We start from the raw sequence: 22,752 nt of genomic DNA, 5'->3' as shown, positions 1-22,752 counted from the left end.
GGCTGCAAGCAAGGCAAAAACCCCCATGATTCTAGGGCAAAGAGCTAGAAATCTGAAAGTCCCGAGTGGGTATTTCAGCAGCTGACCACCCAAAGGTCTCCTGAGTTCAAAGTTCAAGTCTTGCAAGAATAGAGTGATGTGGCAAACACTTCACGGTTTCCATTAAACTTCAAAAAGCCCACACCTTAGATTTAGGGACCACTTCCAGGACTAAGGGATTTGCCCTAAAACTAAGGATCAAGCTGAATAGATCCACCCTGACAAAGCCTACAATCAAGCCCCTTTAAGTATAAGATGCTCTGTCATAACTTAACTGCCTTATAGAACAAAACTCAACACTCTTTAGAGGAAGGTGATAGAATTCAGAGTCCCTAACATGTATTATCATACAATAAAATATTAGTAGACAGGGAAAGAAACATGAAAATGTAAACCACAGTCAATAAAAAAATAAATCGGTCAATAAAAACAGATATACTCTTTGGGGGAAACAGACATACTGATGCCCCCAATGTTGAAACTAGCAAACACTTCAAGGTAGCTAAATTTGCTAAACTTATAGCACCTACAGTATAAATTTATAGTATCTATAAAATAGTATAAACCTACAGCAAAAAATGTTATAATTGGTGAAGAAATGGGACATTTCAGTGCAGATATGAAAACCATGAAGAAGAACCAAGGAGAAATGTTAGAACTGAAAAATACTACATCTAAAATTAAAGTTATTGAATGGGATTAACAGCAGATTGAATACAAAAGAAGAAATAATTCATGAACTTGAAGACAAGTCAAATCATTCAATCTGAAGCACGGAGAGAAAAATTACTGGGGGTGTGGGAGGAAGCCACAATAACATTTGGGACAGTATTAAGCAGTTAACAGACATGTAATTGGAGTCCTAGAAAGAGAAGCAAGTGAGACCAGTACAGAAAAACATATACAATATACTGGAAAAATTAACTGCACTAGGCACATCATGCAAATGGCTGAAAATAAAGTAAAAAAAAAAAAAAAAAAAAACTTAAAAGTGGCCAGAGAAAAAGGGCGTGTTATATACCAAAAAATGGGTAAGAATGAAAACTTCTCATCAGAAACAATGAAGGCTGAAGACATGCAACAATCCTTAACGTGATGAAAGAAAAGAGGTGTCTACCTAGAATTCAAATCCAGGAAAAATATCCTTCAAAAATGGTTAAATAAAGACTCAGAAAAACAAAATCTGATAGAATTGATCTCCAACAGAACTAAGCTTCAATAAATTAAAAGAATGTCTCCAGGCTGAGGGAAAATTGTCCCAGGTGAAAGCATAGATTTGCATGAAGGAATGAAGAGCAGTGGATAAGGTTCCCATGTGGGTAAATGTAACAGCTTTTTCTCCTATTTTTTCCTTTATTTAAAGTAAGAATATAACTGTATGATGGGGTTTATATCATAGCAGTAAAATATGATGACAATATCTCAAAGGATGGAAGAGGATAAAATGGGATATATCCATCCCTAACTTACAGGTAGATTTTATTACGTCTCATATGCAGATTGTAATCTCAGAGCAAATCCACGCTGTCTGATACTCTTCCACTGTGCAATGCTGCATCAACTGAACTTTTTTTTTTCTTTTCTCTTTTTTTTTTTGAGATAAAGTCTCACTCTGTCCCCCAGGCTGGAGTGCAGTGGTGCAATCTTGGCTCACTGCAGCCTCCACCTCCTGGTTCAAGTGATTCTCCCACTTCAGCCTCCCAAGTAGCTGGGACTACATGCACGTGCCATCACACACGGCTAATTTTTGTGTTTTTAGTACAGATAGGGTTTCACCATGTTGGCCAGGCTGGTCTTGAACTCCGGACCTCAGGTGATCCACCTGCCTCAGACTCCCAAAGTGCTGGGATTACAGGCATTAGCCACCATGTCCAGCCAAGTGAACATTTTTGCCATTACTTGTTTACATTATGAAGTTAAAATATTTACGACTGTGTTTGCCATCATTATCATTTCCATCAAATCCATGAATAGAATGACAAATCCATGAAATGTTACAGGCTTGCCCTACTCACAACCCCTTCTGCAGAAAGCTGACAGAGTTGGGTCCTTCCCCATAATTTGCCCTGTCCTGAGGTATACGACCCTTCTATACTGTCCACAATTGATTGTATCAGGGATCTATGTCCTAGTTAAGGGGCATCATCCTTTCAGTTGGACATAAGGGAGGCCAGGCCGGGTGTGGTGGCTCACACCTGTAATCCCAGCACTTTGGGAGGCCAAGGCAGGCGGATCACTTGAGGTCAGGAGTTCAAGACCAGCCTGGCTAACATGGTGAAACCCCATCTCTACTAAAAATACAAAAATTAGCCAGGTGTGGTGGTGCGCATCTGTAATCCTAGCTATTCAGGAGGTTGAGGCAGGAGAATTGCTTGAGCACAGGAGGTGGAGGTTGCAGTGAGCCGAGATGGCACCACTGCACTCCAGCCTGGGCCACAGAGCAAGACTCTGTCTCAAAAAAAGTGGGGGAGGGAGGCGGGGCTGGGTGTGGTGGCTCACACCTGTAATCCTAGCACTTGGGGAGGCCAAGAGGAGTAGATCCTGAGGTCAAGAGTTTGGGACCAGCCTGGCCAACATGGTGAAACCCCGTCTCTATTAAAAATACAAAAAAAAAAATTAGCCGGGCGTGGTGGCACATACCTGTAGTCCCAGCTACTTGGGAGGCTGAGGCAGGAGAATCACTTGAACCTGGGGGGTGGAGGTTGCAGTGATCCAAGATTGCGGCTCTTCACTCCAGACTGGGTGAAAGAACGAAACTCCATCTCAAAAAAAAAAAAAAAAAAAAAAAAGGAGGCCAGTAGCCAGAATAATCTGCACCCTATCAGGGAGCTCTATTTTGGATTATAACTAATAGAATCAATCTGATCCTCTTTCAGGGACTATAGAGAACAAGAGAAGTAGCAAAGGGGAAAGTGGGCAGGGAAGCTGGAGAGCACATGAATAAGAGGATGCACATTGTAACTACAGGGCAATAGACATCCACTTCAAAAGCAAGGACTCAGCCCAGCCGTCTAAGCTGCTGGTGTTCACTACATTTTTTTTCCAGCTCTCCAAGAAGTTGTGCCTCTGATCAAGTATTAAAATAAGCCTCCAGCATTTAAGATAATGTCAATGTGACTTTGTTCCTTGTAACTTAAAGGACGCAGCCCGAATTCATCATAAAAAGAAAAATTCAGACCTGCAATATACAGCACATTAAAATAAATAAGTCAGGCATAAAAAATACCACATAAAAAAAATTATACAACCCGAAGTCGAGGCTTTGACATTTACTTTCATAAAGGGAATAAGAAAAATGTGCAATGAAAATTACTCTATAGTTGTTCAAAAGATGAAATGAAAACGTGTTCAAAATGAAAACGTGAATACTTAAGCACCCACAGAGTTTGCTCAATGGCATTTAAAAAGCAAGCATTCTTTAAACTAGAATTCAAGAATCAAGGGTAAGTTAGGAAGGCATTAGTAATTATGCTTATTTTCCTGGGCTCTTTACATCAAAATGAAAGTAATTTCCAGCCCATAAAGCTCATTTTTAAAGATACCGCAATTAAAGATATTTTATCTCTATATACATGTGTAAATCTTTTGTCATAACCAAAATAGGTTATTGGAAATAAAATATGTATTGTAGCCAATTCAAGTTAAAAAAAAGAAACCTGGGTCTCCTTCAGTTGTCAAGCCATGAGAGCTTGGTCTCATATCAATCTGAAGATCTGTGTAAACACATAAGCTTTCAATTATTATAACTTTAAAAAGCCGCTTCAAAAGTCACCACACAATTACTTTGGTTTCCTTGGCATCCAAGTACTTTTTAAAAGCTTACTTTTTAGCTGTAATTATTTTGAAGTTTAGCGTTTATATCTTTGCATTTCCATTTCCAAAGCACTCTGCAGTTCTTAATATTTTTGAACAAGTCAGTAAAATAGTTTTGTAGCACTTTAAAGTTTTTAACGTAGTTCCCTAATAAATCGCTGTTCTGAAAAATCCCTATATAAGACAAAGCCTTTGCTCAAAAGTTTGTTCATTGTCTTTCCTTTTGCTTGCAAATGGTACAACTGTGTCTGTCTCAGGGAACAATCACTTTAATTGGGTATTAAAGAGACTGGGAATGTTTCTCCTCATTGAATATATCCACTCACAGTTAGGAAAACTTTGAGTTATTAAGACAAAGGGGTTATAAACCCAGATGGGATCTTGGATGTGCTTACAACATAAACTCATAATAGTACTACAAAAAAAAAACAAAGATGACACTATGATTTCTCATAGAGAACTGCATATTCCCAGGGTAGTTTTCTTCTGAAGAAATTAGGATACTTTACTTCCAAAGTGAAAAATATTCCCCTAATTAAGCATCCATACAAGCTGCATTTTCCTTATGACTCCACTTTTTATTCATGGGTTTTAAGATACCCCAAATAAACCTGGTATATAACATTAATACTACTCTAATTCTAATTATCTACTTTGAACAACACTTTCATATACGGGGATTTCTGGGAGTGGTATGATTTTAAAACACAGTGTATGTTTATATACACTGCCACGACCCTTCTTCTCCCACAAAATATTAATTCAGCAAATATTTAATACTGAAATCATGCCTTTATCACTTGGTACAGCTATTATAATTAAGTTGGCAATATAAGTAGCTTAATAGATAACTAGTATTTGGACTTCATACTTTAATTTTGAAAACTCACTGTAAAACACAGATTGAACTCTGTTCAATGAACTTCAATTTCATATTTAAAGCAAGTCTATCAACTGATTCATACCTTATCTTCAACATATACTCATGAAAAACTCACTATTGCGGCCGGGTGCGGTGGTGCACTCCTGTAATCCCAGCACTTTGGGAGGCCAAGGCAGGTAGATCGCTTGAAGTCAGGAGTTTGAGACCAGCCTGGCCAACATAGTGAAACCCCATCTCTACTAAAAATATAAAAGCCGGGCATGGTAATGCATGCCTGTAATCCCAGCTACTCGGGAGGCTGAGACAGAAGAATCGCTTGAACCCGGGAGGCGGAGGTTGCAGTGAGCCAGGATCATGTCACTGCACTCCATCCTGGGTGACAGAGGGAGACTCTGTATCAAAAAAAAAAAAAAAAAAAATTAGCCAAGCATGTGGTCACACACCTGTAGACTCAGCTACTCAAGAGGCTGAGGTGGCAAGATAGCTTGATCTCAGGAGATTGAGGCTGCAGTGAACCAGGATCACATCACTGCTCTCCAGCCTGGGTGACAGAGCAAAACCGTCTCAAAAAAAAAAAAAAAAAAAAAAAAAAAAAAGGAAAAAACGGAAACCTAGGTATATGAAGCCATCACGGAACTGATGTACTATATAAGCCAGAGCCAGCCTTTGTTGGAACTCACCTGATTTTAATAAATTTTCCTTCTCGTTTAAGCCATTTTGAAGTGGAGTTTTACTGCTTATAGTTAAAAAAGTATCTTTCTGGATTTCCACGTGTTGGCTTATTTAAAAAAACTGAAATTATAAGACTGAGCCCTGTGTTTATAACTCAGAAGCATGACTTACTAACTTTGTGAATGGGGGCAGGGCACTAACCATCTTGAGGTACAAGTGAAACAATAGCATGTATTTTATAAGTACAGTTATGAAAAAAGAGAGGGCAACTCAGTGTGTTAGCTGTACAATGTCTATAAACTTTTAACAGTCAGACAAGTTCTGGCAAACAACCTAGTATATCAAGTGGGGCCAATAATGGATCTACACCCCAACCCTAGAATGTTTAAATCCAAGATGCTCCACCTAATGTCTACATTATGAAAACTGCCCCCTCTATGACCAAATATATTTGAAGTCAAAGGAATCAAAGGAAACAATTGTGACTGCATGAATGCTAATAAATGAAAATTTTATTTGCGTCAGCATTAGCATTCTGATTTTTAAAGATTAGATATAGAGATATCACGAATTTGATCTTCAACCCAAACTTTTTTTTTTTTTTGAGACGAAGTCTCACTCTGTTGCCCAGGCTGGAGTGCAGTGGCACGATCTCGGCTCACTGGGTTCACACCATTCTCCTGCCTCAGCTTCCCGAGTAGCTGGGATTACAGGCGCCCGCCACCACGCCTGGCTAATTTTTCGTATTTTTATTAGAGACGGGGTTTCACTGTGTTAGTCACGATGGTCTCGATCTCCTGACCTCGTGATCCGCCCACCTCGGCCTCCCAAAATGCTGGGATTACAGGCATGCAACCCAAACTTTAAATCCCTTAATAATACCATGCTGGAAAACAGCATGAAGTATAATCAACTGTGAAACAGGTTAAGGCTGGGTACAGTAGCTCACACCTATAATCCCAGTACTTTGGGAGGCTGAGGCAGGAGGATAGCTTGAGCCCAGGAGTTCAAGACCAGCCTGAGCAACATAGCGATACTCCATCTCTATTAGGGAAAAAAAAAAAACAGTTGAGCCAACAACATGATAGGGATATGGTCTGCTATTGGCAGCAATTCAAACAACATGGCTCAAGCAATCTCTATTAAAATGTCTGGAACAAGAAATTAACAGAGTGGCATATTCATGAAGCTACAGATTTTTTTTTTTCTGTTAATATCAACTATTCTGTACCAGAGACACATTCTGAAATTTACATTATTATTGTTAAAGATTTTATTAGAAAGTACTTAAATACTTAATACATTAGTATTTAAGTACTTGTTAGTACTTAATTAGTATTTAGTAATAATAAACAAGCACTAAAGAATATTTAATTGCAGAAGTAGAAAATACATTGTGAACTTCCTAAGTTATCAATCACGTTATGAGAATGTAAGTTTTATGTATTAAAAAATAAAGCAAGGCAAAAACTTTATTGCACTTAACAATATACAAAATAGAATAAATATACAAAATAAAAAATCCATTATCCGACTGTAGATACAAAATAGTTATTTGCATGTAATAAACATTAATATTTCAATAAAAAATATTTTAAATAAAATAGAATAGTATTACCAGACTGTATTAGGACAGTATAGTATCACAAAACCTTATAGGAAATAGTAACAATCTGCGAATAACAGAATTTTTTCTATTACATACTAAATACAAGTTTTATCTCCATTTATGCAAATCATTAAAGAAAATGTTAAAGAATTCTTATTCTAATTTTTTGTACTTTTATTCTAGAACTACGTATTGCAATTTCCAAGAAATAACCTACAGATTCCCAGAAGGATTTTTTTAATACTGGCAGTCTTCCTGTTCAATACACAAAATATCAATCTTTTCTTCTGTCAGAAAACTCAAAATTAAAAACTACACCAGGCTCTTTGTTCAGTGTTTTCTCCTCTTCTTGGATGCAGTGAACTCTAAAGACATAAAGTTTAAAAGTCAGTCAGATCTAAAAACAAAAAAAAAACAAACAAAAAAAACAACTGACACTTACATGATAATACCTAATTGATAATACACATTTCAACTACATAGACGTCTAACTGGTACAACACAATAAGAATGCCCTCACAGCAAAGACACAACAAAAAAATCTTAAACCTGACATATTCAAGAATTTTTTCTTCAAAATGATACAGCAGTTTAAAACATACTATCGGCCAGGTGCAGTGGCTCACGCCTATAATCCCAGCACTCTGGGAGGCTAAGGTGGGCGAATCATGAGGTCAGGGGATCGAGACCATCCTGGCTAACATGGTGAAACCCCATCTCTACTAAAATAAATACAAAAAATTAGCCGGGCGTGGTGGTACATGTCTATAGTACCAGCTACTCAGGAGGCTGAAGCAGGAGAATTGCTTGAACCCAGGAGGTGGAGGTTGCAGTGAGCCAAGATCGTGCCACTGCACTCCAGCCTGGACGACAGAGCGAGACTCCATCTCAAAACAAACAAACAAACAAAAAAAACACATAACAACAAAAAATACTACCTCCATTAAGGTAGTAAGATCTCAATCCTATTGCAATATCAATCTATTGAGATAGTGGCCCTTAGTCATTCTAAATCCTAATTAATAATAAGTTACTGTGAAGTTGTTTCATATGGGTACACCCTCCCTATAATTATATGAACCCAGGGTACTAGATCTCAAAGGTATTTAGGCCAGTACTAAGAAGAAGAAAATGACTAAGATTTCAATTTCATTTCAATTAAACCTAGAAATGTAACCCAAAACACCAGTACCACACATCATTCTGGCTACCACAGGAGATGCCAGAACCAACACTCGAATAATTGTCCATCTAGAAACAGCACGAACCTAAAGTTTACTGATCATTAAAAGCAAAGAAAGTAATAGAAAACACAAAAACATGAAAATTACAAAAGATGTGGCAAAAAGAAATATTCCGGCCGGGTGCAGTGGCTCCCACCTGTAATCCCAGCACTTTGGGAAGCCAAGGCAAGCGGATCACTTAAGGTCAGGAGTTCAAGACCAGCCTGCCCAACACGGTGAAACCCCATCTCTACAAAAATACAAAAATGAGCCGGGCATGATGGTGAGTGCCTGTAATCCCAGCTACTTGGGAGGCTGAGGCAGGAGAATCGCGTGAACCTGGGAGATGGTGTTTGCAGTGAGCTGAGATCACGCCATTGCACTCCAGCCTGGGTGACAGAGCAAGACTCTGTCTCAAAAAAAAAAAAAGAAAAAAAGAAAAGAAAAAAAAATATTCCCCACCAGTGAAAAACAAAAGGGAAATGGCAGAAAAAGAAAAAGAGAAAAGACAAGTAAAAAAAACAAATTAAGATGAAAACAAATTCCTAGGCCAGGCACGGTGGCTCATGCCTGTAATCCCAGTACTTTGGAAGGCTGAGGCAAGTGGATCACTTGAGCCCAGGAGTTTGAGACCAGCCTAGGCAACACAGTGAGACCCTGTCTCTACAAAAAATACAAAAATTAGCCAGGCATGGTGGCATGTGCCTTCAGTCCCAGTGACTCAAGAGGCTGAGGCGGGAGGGGAGGATAGCCTGAGCCGGGGAGGTCGAAGCTGTAGTAAGTCACTGTGATCAAGTCACCGCACTCCAGCCTGGGCAACCCAGCAAGACCCTGTCTCATGAAAAAAAAATAAAGAAAACAAATTCCTGGAAGAGAGCAGCAGTCAGGATTAGAAGTACTGGAACACTGTCCAGATGAAAGCAGGTCAGAGGTCTGACAGAGACATCTCTACAAAGATGAAACTGATAGGATACCTAATGGGTATCCATACCATTCATTTATTGTATTATCCCTGACTTTGAGATGTCATTAATGATATGACTAATACTGAAATTCTCCAATGGGTCAAAGATGAAAGGATCACAAGAACACACAGCAAACTGTCATGTTCCTCAAGGGTTCTAAACCTTGATGCTCTACGAGTATAAGTTAGTTTACTTGACTAGTTTGACCAAATTTTATCTGTACCTGTTCCACTCAAACTTTCATTCTCTTCTTCTTCTGTAATTACAGGCATACTCAGACTTAAAGGTTTATCTTCCTTGTGTATATTCTGCACATTGCCTAGAAATATTTAGAAAATGATTTTATATGAAAGCAAAGAATATTATAATCTTTGAGAAAACATTTTACAAAAACTGTCATTATTACAGCATAAAAATTAGACATGTAAAAACTGAAACTGTAATGGTAACAGAAATACGCATTCTAGAATACCTATATTTTTTCAAATACTAACATATTTGTATTTATACTTTGAAAATAGTCTCTAGTTCTTCCACTAGAGAAAACAGAGAAAAAAGGAATAAACAAAATTAGCCAAACACAAATACCATATTTAATCTTTACCACACATGACAGGGGTTATATCTGCAGCCATCAAAGAATAATCACATATGTTACTTCAACTTTATTAAATTAATTACAAATGTAATTTTTGAGTTTAACAGCCTTACTTTTGGATGTGAACATACTTTCTTTTCTCACCACATATGCTCTACAAGATATATTCCTCTAGTCATAATTTGCGATTGACTTTCCATTTTCAAAAACACTAGAGGTTCTCTACATCAACCTTCTGTTACCTGAAGAAGTATCCCAACCAAATTTATCAGATACCATTGTCATATCAAGTACCATTTAGCACACAATTTCCATGTCCCAAAAGCAACCCCCATAAACAGTGACTATTTTTTATGCTGTTTTTCTTTGCCCCAACACTTTTATCATTTGATATGTTATATCTTGCTTTTTTTTTTTTTTCTTTTTTAATGGAGTCTCACTCTGTCACCCAGGCTGCAGTGCAGTGGCGCGATCTTGGCTCATTGCAACCTCTGCCTCCTGGGTTCAAGCAATTCTCCTGCCTCTGCCTCCTGAGCCTGCACACTGAGAACAGAAAGATGTTCACTACAATAAGTGTAACAGAAACACTATTTTCTTTTTTTAAAAAGACATAAGAACAAAGCATTGTGGCATGAAGCCATTTAATATAAACTGCCGCACACTTAAGCTATTTTTTTTTTTGAGACAGAGTCTCTCTGTAGCCCAGGCTGGAGTACAGTGGCGTAATCCCAGCTCACTGCAACCTCCGCCTCCCAGGCTTAAATGATTCTCATGCCTCAGCCTCCTGAGTAGCTGGGACTACAGGTGAATGCCATCACGCTCAGCTAATTTCTGTATTTGTAGTAGAGATGGGGGTTCCACCATGCTGGCCAGGCTGGTTTCAAACTCCTGACCTCAAGTGATCCACCTGCCTCAACCTCCCAAACTGCTGGGATTACAGGCGTGAGCCACCGTGCCCGGCCTATTTCTTGATAGAATCATTACATTATAAAACCCAGTAACATAATCCTCATGATGGTGACCATGACTTGTCAGGAGAAAATTAAATTATGTTAAGGATACAGTGTTCCAGAAAATAAGAGCATAAAATATATTTGACTTTAATGTATTTATAATTACAAAAATGATAAATGTAGAAAAAAGGAAACATATAAAAGAGAATGCAATATATTTGAGAAAGATAGCAAAAAATAATTAAATTTTTAAAAAGTAAATTTTGGCTGGGGGTGGTGGCTCATGCCTGTAATCCCAGCACTTTAGGAGGCTGAGGTGGGTGGATCACAAGGTCAGGAGTTCGAGACCAGTCTGGCCAACATGGTGAAACCCTGCTTCTACTAAAAATACAAAAATTAGCTGGGCATGGTGGTGGGTGCCTGTAATCCCAGCTACCCGGGAGACTGAGGCAGGAGAATTGCTTGAACCCAGGAGGCGGAGGTTGCAGTGAGCCGAGATCGCGCCACTGCACTCCAGCTCTGGGCGACAGAGCAAGACTCCATCTCGGGAGGGAACAAAAAAGTAAATTTCAACATTGTAATCATTAACCTCAATTATCCATAAAACTAACTCCCTAGAAGGTCTCAGGTGGGCAGTTTTACTATGCTCAAAGCTAAATGTGTGGGGTGCAATGATCAGTAATAGACCACTACTGATTATCCAAACAAATGATTACTAGTCAGGCAGCTAGAATGCAACTAACAACAAATTTACTTAAGTGTATGTCTAATCTGAGCTCCAGATCCACACCTCCAGTGACCTGGGAGGTAGCACAGTATGACAGTTAAAGAATCAGGCTTGGATTCAGACAGACTCGTTCCAGTCTCAGTTCTGCTATGTATTATCTAGAAGGTCTTGGACATGTGAGAAAAAGTTGGTCAGATAAAAAGTGTTACATAGCCGGGTGCGGTGGCTTGCGCCTGTAATCTCAGCACTTTAGGAGGCTGAGGTGGGTGGATTATTTAACGTCAGGAGTTCGAGACCAACCTGGCCAACATGGTTAAGACTCCGTCTCTACTAAAAATACAAAAATCAGCCAGGCGTGGTGGCGAGCGCCTGTAATCACAGCTAGTGGGGAGGCTGAGGCAGAAGAATCGCTTGAACCCAGGAGGTGGAGGTTGCAGTGAGCCGAGATCGTGCCACTGCACTCCAGCCTGGGTGACAGAGCAACACTCCATCTCAAAAAAAAGTGTTAATAAATAGTAGTTGCTATCATCTTCATCCATCATAGCACTGGTATTACTGATGTCCTGTCAACATGCATGTTATATTCGAGGAATGGTGAGCACATAATTAAAGCTTAAATAACATAAGCTTAAGTAAATTCCATCAATATACTGAGCACCCATTAATACACCAAGCAATTATTACAGAAATCAGTCTGGCAAGGCGGACTGGAGCGAATTCTCCCCCCAATGAAATCTTTATTGTGTCATTGTATTTCTCCAGCAAGGACACAAATATCCTCCCAGGTGCTCAGACATTAAGCATTCTTGTCTCACCCCTCTCCACTAGTCTCCGTATTTGCTCTTATGTCTGTTAGCCTTGCTTCTCTAATTCCTACAACCATGTGGCACACGCTCGTTACTCCTAAATCTGAACTACCGCAACAGCCCTCTACTTAGTGTTCCTATTTTCAGTTTGTTCCCAGCTACCTACCATTCTACTCCCAGACTGATTTTCTTCAAGGAAAACTTTGGGCATGCCACTTTCTTGCTCAAAAGTTTCAGCTGACTCCCCCTCTGCCTACCAATTGAAGTGTAAACTTCTTGATTCCACATTTAAGGCCTGGTCACAATACAATCCTCAACATATTTTTCCAGCACTTTTAACATTTAACTCCCCAACATATCCCCTTTACAATCCAGCCTAAATGGACCCCTCACTCTATACTTCCCAGCTACTTTGCCTTTTTCACACCAGCCCCTCTACTTGTCTGAGTCTATGAAATTATGTTTACCTTATTTGTAAAAAGGTCTTTGGATTTCTACTGATTACTAAAGTAACACTTGGTTATACAAAATCCAAACGTTACAGACATTTATGGGTAGTTTCTCATTATACTATCCTTGAAAATTAACCACTGGTAATACTTCATACACATCTAGATTTCTTCAGTGCTATATATTATGTTCATGTGTGTATGTATGTATATTTTTTTATTAATAGAAACGAGATCATACTTTTTTAAAAAGCCTTTTCACTATGAAATGTATAGATAATGTTGTGTTTTATTTTTAGTCGATATATTTTGGATATACTTTCATAATACAGAGCTTTCCCTAGCCTTTTTTTTTTTTTTTTGAGATGGAGTCTTGCTCTGTCACCCAGGCTGAAGAGCGGTGGCGCTATCTTGGCTCACTGCAACCTCCGTCTCCTGGGTTCAAGTGATTCTCCTGCCTCAGACTCCCAAGTAGCTGGGACTACAGGCACCCGCCACCACACCCAGCTAATTTTTGTATTTTCAGTAGAGGTGGGGTTTCACCATATTGGCCAGGCTGGTTTTGAACTCCTGACCTTGTGATCTGCCTGCCTCGGCCTCCCAAAGTGCTGGGACTACAGGCGTCAGCCACCGTGCCCAGCCTCCCTAGCTTTTTAGTAACTGCAAAGTATTCCTTTGTATGGACTGACAATAATTTTATTTACCCATTATACATTTGAGTTGTTTACAGTTTGCCATTTCAAATAATCCTGCAATGAATTTCCTTTTATATTTATGATTTGTACAGAATAAATTCCTAGCAATTCTAAAAAGCATGTACATTTAAAATTTTGACCTGATTCTAAATTGCTCTATGAAAAGAATGTGCCAATTTACTCTCCCACTTAAACTGAGATTTTATTTCCTCACACTTTCATTATCAATGGGTATTATCTTTAATCTTTATCAAATAATATAAAAATCATGTTTTAATTTATATATCTTTAATTATAAATGAAATTCAATTATTTCCTATATGCACTGACTGTCTGCCTGCATTTGTTATTGCCTGTTCATGTCCTAAGCTATTTTTCTACTGGGTGGTGGCCCTTTTCTTATTCATTTATAAAAGCTCTTTTACAATTAGAAATTTTAATAGTATCATATGTGCAAATGGATTTGTAAGATCTTTTGCCTTTTATGGAACTGAAGGCTCCTCTGTTTGAAAAACTGTAAAATCAAAAACACCTTTCCACTGTATGGAAATGAACGTTTGATTAATGAGAAACTACAAAGTAAGCATTTGGGTCTTTATTATTCAGGTAACTACTTCTGCTTCAGAGTATTTACAATACCTTAGCTGGATTAGTTAAGCCATGATGGAGATCTGAATTCAGATCACATTTTATAATACTTTATTCTTTCTCATGGGTAAATCCTCCCTAACACCCTGAGAAAATTCATTAACAAATCTCAGATGTACTATAGAGCCTGTCCTTCAGTTAGTTTCAGAATTTACAAAACAGTTGTTTTCAGCAACTAATTATGATTGGTGATCATAAATTATAACTGTCACACATTCAAGATGAAAGTTAATTTCATTTAACTTCTTTCTTTTCCTATTTTGTTCTTGTTCCTCCTTTGTTCCCCAACCACATTAAAAAATTTTTTTTTCAGGTCTTCAAGAAAGCAGCTTGGCCAGCTCATCACGTTGCTGTGCCTATATGAAGGCAATTAATAAAAAGTGCTTGTGAGGGTTTCTAAACCTAACTATCTTTGGTACTTATGTTAAAGTGAACTAAATATGGCCTGAGAAGGACTCCGTACTTCTATATTTGAGTCCTTGTGGACCAACTGCAATCTAGCTTAATAGGTAGACAAGACTGAAAACCAAATTTAGGAGTATGTGCCTTAACAATAGCTGAGACTTGGCCAATCCCAGCGGCAGTACTTCAACCATTCATACACTGCTGAGTCTTCAAACTGTGTTCAAATAAGGCAAATGCCGAGCTGTAACCAATCCAGCTGTTCTGTACCTCACTTCCGATTTCTGTACCTCATTTCCTTTTTATTGGCTATACATCTTCCACCACGTGGCTGCACTGGAGTCTCTGAATCTGCCGTGATTCTAGGGGCTGTGCGATACTGGAAATGTTCACTGCTCAATTAAACTCCTTTAAATTTAATTCAGCTGAACATTTTCTTTAAAAAAAAAAAACATTTTAATCTACCAGAAGTTAATTTTTGAAATATAATCAAACTAAACAATCTTTTCCTTATGTCCTCTCTTTTTGTTCGTGTTTGGCCATCAGTCAGGTTTATTGAAGTATTATTAACATACAATAAAATTCACCCATTTTTGCTATACAGAGAAGTTTGGACAAATGCACGGCTGTGCAATCTACCACTGCAACGAAAATATAGATTTCCATCACCCCAAAAGTTTCTCTGTGCCACTGGGCATTTAATACCTTCCCCTACCCCTAAGTCCGTAGCAACCAAATATATGTTTTCTGTCCCTACAGATTTGCCTCTTCCAGAATGTCATATAAATAGAATCACAGAGTATATAGCCTTTTGTGTCTGTCTTCTTTCACAGAGCACACTGAATTCAGATTCATCTATGTTGTTAGATGTATGATAGCTCTTTTATTGCTGGGTTGTATTTCATTGCATGGATATGCCACAGTTTATCCAATCAGCAGTGGAAGGATTTTTAGGCTGTTTGCAGTTCTTGCAATTATGAATAAAGCCACATAAACTTTTGCATACACATTTCTGTGTGAACATTAAGTGTTCATTTCTCTTGAGTAAATACCAAGGAATAGTATTTCTGGGTCGGATGGTAAGTACACGTTTACCTTTTAAAAACTACAGGTTTTCTAAAGTAACCACATCATTCTGGATTCACACCAGAAAAGTATGCAGGTTCCACTTGTTCCAAATCCTCAACAGCTTTTTTCATCACAATTTTTGTTTTGCTTTGTGGGGTCTTTTTGTTGTTGCCATTCAGGGTTTAGTGGAGTGTCACTGTGGTTTTAATTTACATTTCTCTAGTAACTAAAGATGCAGAGCATCTTTTCATATGATTATTTGCCATCCATATCTTTTCTTTGGTGAAATGTTTTAGCCATTTCTTCATTGGGTGGGCTGTATATTTATTGAGTTAGACTTCTTTAAATATTACTATTTTGGATACAAGACCTTTATCAGCGTAGTAGTTTGCAAAAATTTTCTCCCAGTCTGTGGCTTATCTTCTCATCTTCTTAACAGTGTCTTTTGAAGACAAAAATTGTAACTTTGAGAATGCCAATTTATCAGTTTTTTTTTGTTTCATGATTTGCTCGTGTTATTGTGTCATGTATTTAAAAATCTTGCCCAACCCAAGAACACAAACATTTTTCTCCTACATATTTTTTCACAAGTTTTATAATTTAGGTTTCAAATTTAGGTCCATAATCCATTTTGAATTTTTTTTTGGATAAGATAAGGGATATTGGTCTTTAGTTCTTTCTTGCAATGTCAGTAAGCTGCAAAGTGTTCCCTCTTGCATTTTCTGAAAGAATCTAGATCACTCCTTTCTTAAATGTTTGCTAAAATTTCCAGAGAAGCCTGGGAATTTAATTTCTTTAGCAGTGTGAGAGGAAAATAAATCTTCGGACCCCAAAATCACTAAGCTAAAGGGAAAAGTCAAGCTGGAACTGCTTAGGGCAAACCAGCCTCCCATTCTATTCAAAGTGATCCCTCTGAGGCTCACCTAAGACAAATGCATATCTGATTGCTTCCTCTCCCCTATTGCTTATGTGAAAATGCAGATTCATTGAGCCAGAGTAAATTGCGTATTATTTGTATTAGGTGGAAGGCCATCAAAGACTCAAAAAATCCAACTTTTTGTCTTACCTACTTCTAACCTGGAAGCCCCCACTTGTTGCCTTACCAGACCAAACCAATGTACGACTTACACATATTGATGATGTGTCATGTCTCCCTAAAATGTATAAAAGCAAACTGTATCCCGACCACACTGGGCACATGTCTCAGGACTTCCTGAGGTTGTATCACAGGCACATCCTTAACCCAGGCAAAATAAACTTTCTAAATCAACTGAGACCTGTCTCAGATATTCTGGGGTCTCAGTAGACATTAGACTATTCAGATTTCCTCCATCAGTTTTGGAAACTTGTGTCTCTCTCTTTTTTTTTTGAGACAGAATTTCGCTCTTGTTGCCCAGGTTGGAGCGCAAAGGCTCCATCTTGGCGCGATCTTGGCTCACCGCAACCTCCGCCTCCCGGGTTCAAGCAATTCTGCCTCAGTCTCCCAAGTAGCTGGGATTACATGCATGTGCCACCAAGCCCAGCTAGTTTTGTATTTTCAGTAGAGACGGGGTTTCTCCATGTTGGCCAGGCTGGTCTTGAACTCCCAACCTCAGGTGACCCACCTGCCTCAGCCTCCCAAAGTGCTGTGATTACAAGCATGGGCCACCGCGCCCGGCCTGGAAACTTGTGTCTCTTAATAAATTTATTCATTTTATTTAAGCTACCTAACTTACTGGCATAAAATTATTTATAATTTTGCCTTGGTCACCTTTTAATCTTTGTAAGGTTTACAGTGGTCACCCTTACCTCCCTAAATTTTTGTTCTTAATTATTTTTCAGCAAATTCTCTTTAGAATTTTTTTAGGCATAAAATCATTCACATATCATGATAATTTTCTAGTCTCTCTTTCTGATGTCATATCTCCCTTCACTCTCTTATCTAATTACACTGACTAGCTCTTTAAGAGCAACGTTAAATAAAACTGTGATACTTCTTGCATATTACCATTGAACATGAGGCACTTTGTAATCTAATACACAAGTGCACACACACACTTTAAAGATTAAAGAAATAATCTTCTATTTTACCTAGGGCAGGAGTTAACAAACTATGGCCCCTGGACCAAATGTGACCAACCACCTGCTTTTATACAGTTTTACTGGACTACAACCACACTAGTGTGTGTTGGTATTATCTATAGCTACTTTCACATTACGATGGTAGAGCTGAGTAGTTGTGACAGAAACACGGCTCACAAAACCTAAACTATTTACTACCTGGCCCTTTACAGAAACTGTTTGCTGACTCCTTGATCTAGAGGATTTTTTTTTTTTAAATCAAGAATGGATGGTGGATATTATCAAATGTCTTCTTTGGTAACTATTAAAATAAATTCACATTTTCCCCTTTAACCTATTGATGTGGTAAATCATATTAATAGATTCTGAATGCATCCTGAAATAAGTGTACTCAGTCAAGGTATTTTTGTGTCTAGGATTATTTTTGATACATGTGACTTAGGATTTTTTCAGTAATACTCATAAGTGAGTTTAGTCTAACAATTTTCTTCACAATATCCTTTAGCATTGTGAAAGGAAGTAGAAAAATCTCCTTTTGAACTATTTCTTGATCATACTTAACAAATATGGTATCTCCTCTGAATTCTCAGTGCACTTCAAGCTACTGTTACACGACTTAATCATATCTGGGACATATTAAAGGTATTTAACTTCAGTTCTCCCTCCACTGCTTCAATATAGGGGAAAAAATGCTAAAAGGCTGTTAACTTATCTTCATATATACCTGCAGTAGTTGAGAGTGAATTTCATTATTAGTCATTAAATATTTACTGTTTCTAACGCTCCTTTTTTTCTCACCTTAAGTAAACCTGTTAATCAAATTCCAAATTTATGTAGGGTGCATATACATTATTCAGACAATTTTTAAAAAACCAAACTATTGCCAGGTGCGGTGGCTCACGCCCGTAATCCCAGCACTTTGGGAGGTCAAGGCGGGCGAATCACGAAGTCAGGAGTTCAAGACCAGCCTGGCCAACATAGTGAAACCCCGTCTCTACTAAAAATACAAAAACAAATTACCCAGGCATGGTGGTGGGCGCCTGTAGTCCCAGCTACTTGGGAGGCTCAGACAGGAGAATCACTTGAACCCGGGAGGCAGAGGTTGCAGTGAGCCGAGATCGCGCCACTGCACTTCAGCCTGGGCAACACAGCAAGACTCTGTCTCAAGAAAAAAAAAAAAAAAAAAAAAACCAAACCAAACTATTGAAATATATACGAAAGTAATTTCCTTAAGAAGAAAGGTAATTTTACAGATACACCGTGTCAAAGAAAAAGGACATCTTAATACAGCTAAAAAGAAACATGGTTTATAGAATGCATTATTTATATCTCATTCTACAAATAAGTTTGATTCGCACACAAAAATTACTACTAAAATATGCACTGGAGGCCGCGTGCGGTGGCTCATACCTGTAATCTCAGCACTTTGGGAAGCCAAGGCAGGTGGATCACCTGAGGTCAGGAGTCCAAGACCGGCCTGGCCAACATGGTGAAACCCCATCTCTACTAAAAAAAAATACAAAAAAAAATTAGCTGGGTATGGTGGCAGGTGCCTGTAGTCCCAGCTACTCAGGAGGCTGAGGCAGGAGAATTGCTTGGACCTGGGAGGCGGAGGTTGCAGTGAGCCAAGATCGTGCCATTGCACTCCGGCCTGGGCAACAACAGCAAAACTCCCTCTCAAAAAAAAAAAAAAAAAAAAAATGCACTGGAAAATTCTAGACTGATTTCATAACTATCTAGCTATTAATTGATATATCACTTTAGACAAGTTATTTAATCTGTATAGGCCTAAATTTCTTTTTTTGTTTGTTTGTTTTGAGAGTCTTGCTCTGTCACCTATGCTGGAGTGAAGTGACATGATCTCAGCTCACTGCAACCTCTGCCTTCCAGGTTCAAGCAATTCTCGTGCCTCAGCCTCCCAAGTAGCTGGGATTACAGGCATGCGCTACCATGCCCGACTTTTATATTTTTAGTAGAAACAGGGTTTCACCATGTTGGCCAGGCTGGACTTGAACTCCTGACCTCAAGTGATCCGCCCACCTAGGCCTCTCAAAGTGCTGGGATTACAGGCATGAGCCATAGCACCCGGCCAGGCCAAAATTTCATCATCTATAAAACGATACATTTGATATGATTCCTAGGATCCCTTTCAAGCAATAAGATTCCAAGAATCTAACAGAATTTATTTTTAATATTAAATCTCACAAAAATGTTCTCAAACAAGTATCTAATCCTTCTTAACAAGGAAATAAACATGAGGCAAAGTTGTAAATAAAACCCATTCTCCTTTGTTGAATCTTAGTAAGACTTTAAAAAGTTACCTTTGTTTCTGAGAGACATCTTCCTTCCTGCTGGTTTCAATCTTTCTTTCTTCTCTTTTTTCCTAGTTGCTTTGACTTGCCCTTGACCAGATGCAGAATCAGAGTCAGAAGAGTCGAGTTTGACTTGACGATGCCTTCTTGATTTGGATGCCTTAAGAGTTACAATCCAATTAACCAATAAATTATAAAATGAATCCAAATGATAAAATTGAGAGGAAGACAAAATGTACAATCAAAGATGAGGAAAGATTTACAGAAATATCTGTCATAAAGTACTTTACTATTACCCCTGGCTGGCTTACTATAACTACCTGTGTCATGTAAATAGTCTCTTATTTTTATAACATGAAGTTTCCTGCAGCTGTCATCATCATCTACTCACATGGGCTTAAAATGAAGTTGTTCTATTATCTGGCATGGTTAGGCAACAAAGGTGTAGAGGCATCTTCTAATAAATTTATTTCCCTTAGGCACTACCACGCATTCCAAGTAGAAGTACTTCACGCTTGGCTCCAGGTTTGGCCATGTGGCCCAGATCTGGCCACAATGAGTTTAACATCCCCATGGCCAGGGTAATTTGTTGGGAGTGGGGAGGCAAGCAGGCGGGGTATGTGGTATGTATCATGGCTAATGAAATGCTATTTTGGAATTGTCTAACTATTAAGAAGGAAAAATTCTTTCTTGCCTTGGAAGCTAAAGCTGGGAACATGCAAGGCTGGAGCTGTCAGGAAAACAGCACTTGACGGCAGTGAAAATGGAGGGCCAGTCTTAATGATAGCTTTGTCTGCGACACAGATATCTTTAGCCAATCCTGGCTAAGGATTTGTTTTGTTACATCAGTAGGTGAATTCCCTTACTTGCTTAAGCAAAGAATTTTCAGTTAATGCTGTATATGCAATACAGGTATTAACAATTCTTTTTTCTGTCCTTTTTTTTTTTTTTTTTTTGGAGATGGAGTCTTGCTTTGTCACCCAGGCTGGAGTGCAGTGGCACGACCTCAGCTCGCTGCAACCTCTACCTCCCGGGGTTCACGCCATTCTCCTGCCTTAGCCTCCCGAGTAGCTGGGACTACTGGCGCCCACCACCACGCCCGGCTAATTTTTTGTATTTTTAGTAGAGATAGCGTTTCACCGTGTTAGCCAGGATGGTTTCGATCTCCTGACCTCATGATCCGCCCACCTCGGCCTCCCAAAGTGCTGGGATTACAGGCATGAGCCACCGCACCCGGCCAACAATTCTTAAAAAGCAACCACGTATAGCTGTCTCTCAGTATCCATGGAGGATTAGTTCCAGGACTTCCTTCGTATACCAAAATCCAGAGAAGCTCAAATTCCTGATATAAAATTGTGTAGTATTTGCATATAACCTATGCACTTCCTCCCATATACTTTCAATCATCTCTAGATTACTTATAATACCTAATACTATGTAAATGATTGTCATATTATTCAAGGAATAATGGCAAGGAAAAAAGTCCACACATATTTGGTACAGATGCATTTTTTTTTTCAAATATTTTCAATCCACAATTGGTTCAATCCATGGATGCAGAAACCACAGACACACTACAGTAACCAAAACAGAATGGTACTGGTACAAAAACAGACACATAGACCAATGGAACAGGACAGAGAACTCAGAAATAAAGCCACACACCTACGACCACCTGATGGTTGACAAAGTTGACAACAAAAATTGAAAAGTGAGACCTAATTAAACTACAGAGCTTCTGTACAACAAAAGAAACAACAGAGTAAACAGACAACCCTACAGAATGAGAGAAAATAGTCACAAACTTTGCATTCGATAAAGGTCTAATATTCATAATCTATAAGAAAATTAATTCAACAAACAAAAAACCACCCCGTTAAAAAACGGGCAAAGGGCTGGGCACAGTGGCTCACATCTGTAATCCTAGCACTTTGGAAGGCTGAGGTGGGACTGAAAAAACAGGCAGGTGCATTGAAAATCTATAGAGAATAGTGTCTCATTCCTCAACCTCAGAGCTAGGCAACTGATCTCCTGTACAAAACAGAAGGCCTGCTCTCTGAAGAGGCTAAACGAGAAAGGATGTGGGCTCAAAGGAAACTGGTGTAGGTGAGGAAGGAGATGAGGCCTCTTATTGAAAATAGAGGGGCTGAGTGAAACCTGCATAAGGAATGGTGAGCCTCGTGGCTGATTCTCTCTGTAGGCTCCCAAAACATTGGCAGCTGGGCTTATTTCCCACCCTCCTCCCCTAGACAAGGGAGTGAAAGATTGCTCTCTAAATAACTAGCTCCAAGACAAAGAAATCTAGAGGTTAGATAAGCTCCTGATCTCCTCTTGACTACCCTTAAATATGAAAAGACATCTGAGGATCTTCAATCATTTTTAAAAAGCCAACAAAATGGGCCAGGTGCACTGGCTCACACCTGTAATCCCAGCACTTTGGGAGGCCAAGGCAGGTGGATCACCTGAGATCGGGAGTTCAAGACCAGCCTGGTGAACATGGAGAAACCCCCAACTCTACTAAAAATACAAAATTAGCCATGCGTGGTGATGCATGCCTGTAATCCCAGCTACTCGAGAGGCTGAGGCAGGAGAATCACTTGAACCTGGGAAGCGGAGGTTGCAGTGAGCCAAAATTGCACCATTGCACTCCAGCCTGGGCAACAAGAGCAAAACTCTGTCTCAAAAAAAAAAAAAAAAACCAACAAAGTGAAAGAGTTCAAACAAATAGAAAAAAAAGAACTCAAAGGAAATGGGAGGAACCATCAAAAAAAAACTGTAGTTAATATCCTTAAAGAGAAAAAGTTATTGCATCCTGTGAAAAAGAAAAAT

The 22,752-nt window shown here is 38.8% G+C and overlaps 1 protein-coding gene across 1 annotated transcript in view; it reads right to left on the bottom strand.

The window, feature by feature from the left end:
• Positions 1 to 5,901: 5,901 nt before the first annotated feature.
• The window catches only part of SNAPC1 (small nuclear RNA activating complex polypeptide 1), a 34,009-nt gene continuing 17,158 nt past the window's right edge, over positions 5,902 to 22,752 (bottom strand). Inside the window, exons 8-10 of the mRNA NM_003082.4 lie at positions 19,933 to 20,083; positions 9,428 to 9,523; positions 5,902 to 7,381 (exon numbers count right to left, since the gene is read on the bottom strand). Coding sequence (NP_003073.1) covers positions 7,347 to 7,381; positions 9,428 to 9,523; positions 19,933 to 20,083 — 282 coding nt within the window. The 3' untranslated portion in view covers positions 5,902 to 7,346. The remainder of the gene's footprint in view (positions 7,382 to 9,427; positions 9,524 to 19,932; positions 20,084 to 22,752) is intronic.

The sequence above is a fragment of the Homo sapiens genome, chromosome 14 (assembly GCF_000001405.40).
Source record: "Homo sapiens chromosome 14, GRCh38.p14 Primary Assembly".
In the NCBI taxonomy this organism is placed as follows: Eukaryota; Metazoa; Chordata; class Mammalia; order Primates; family Hominidae; genus Homo; species Homo sapiens.
This window is presented reverse-complemented; position numbering and strand designations above follow the sequence as displayed.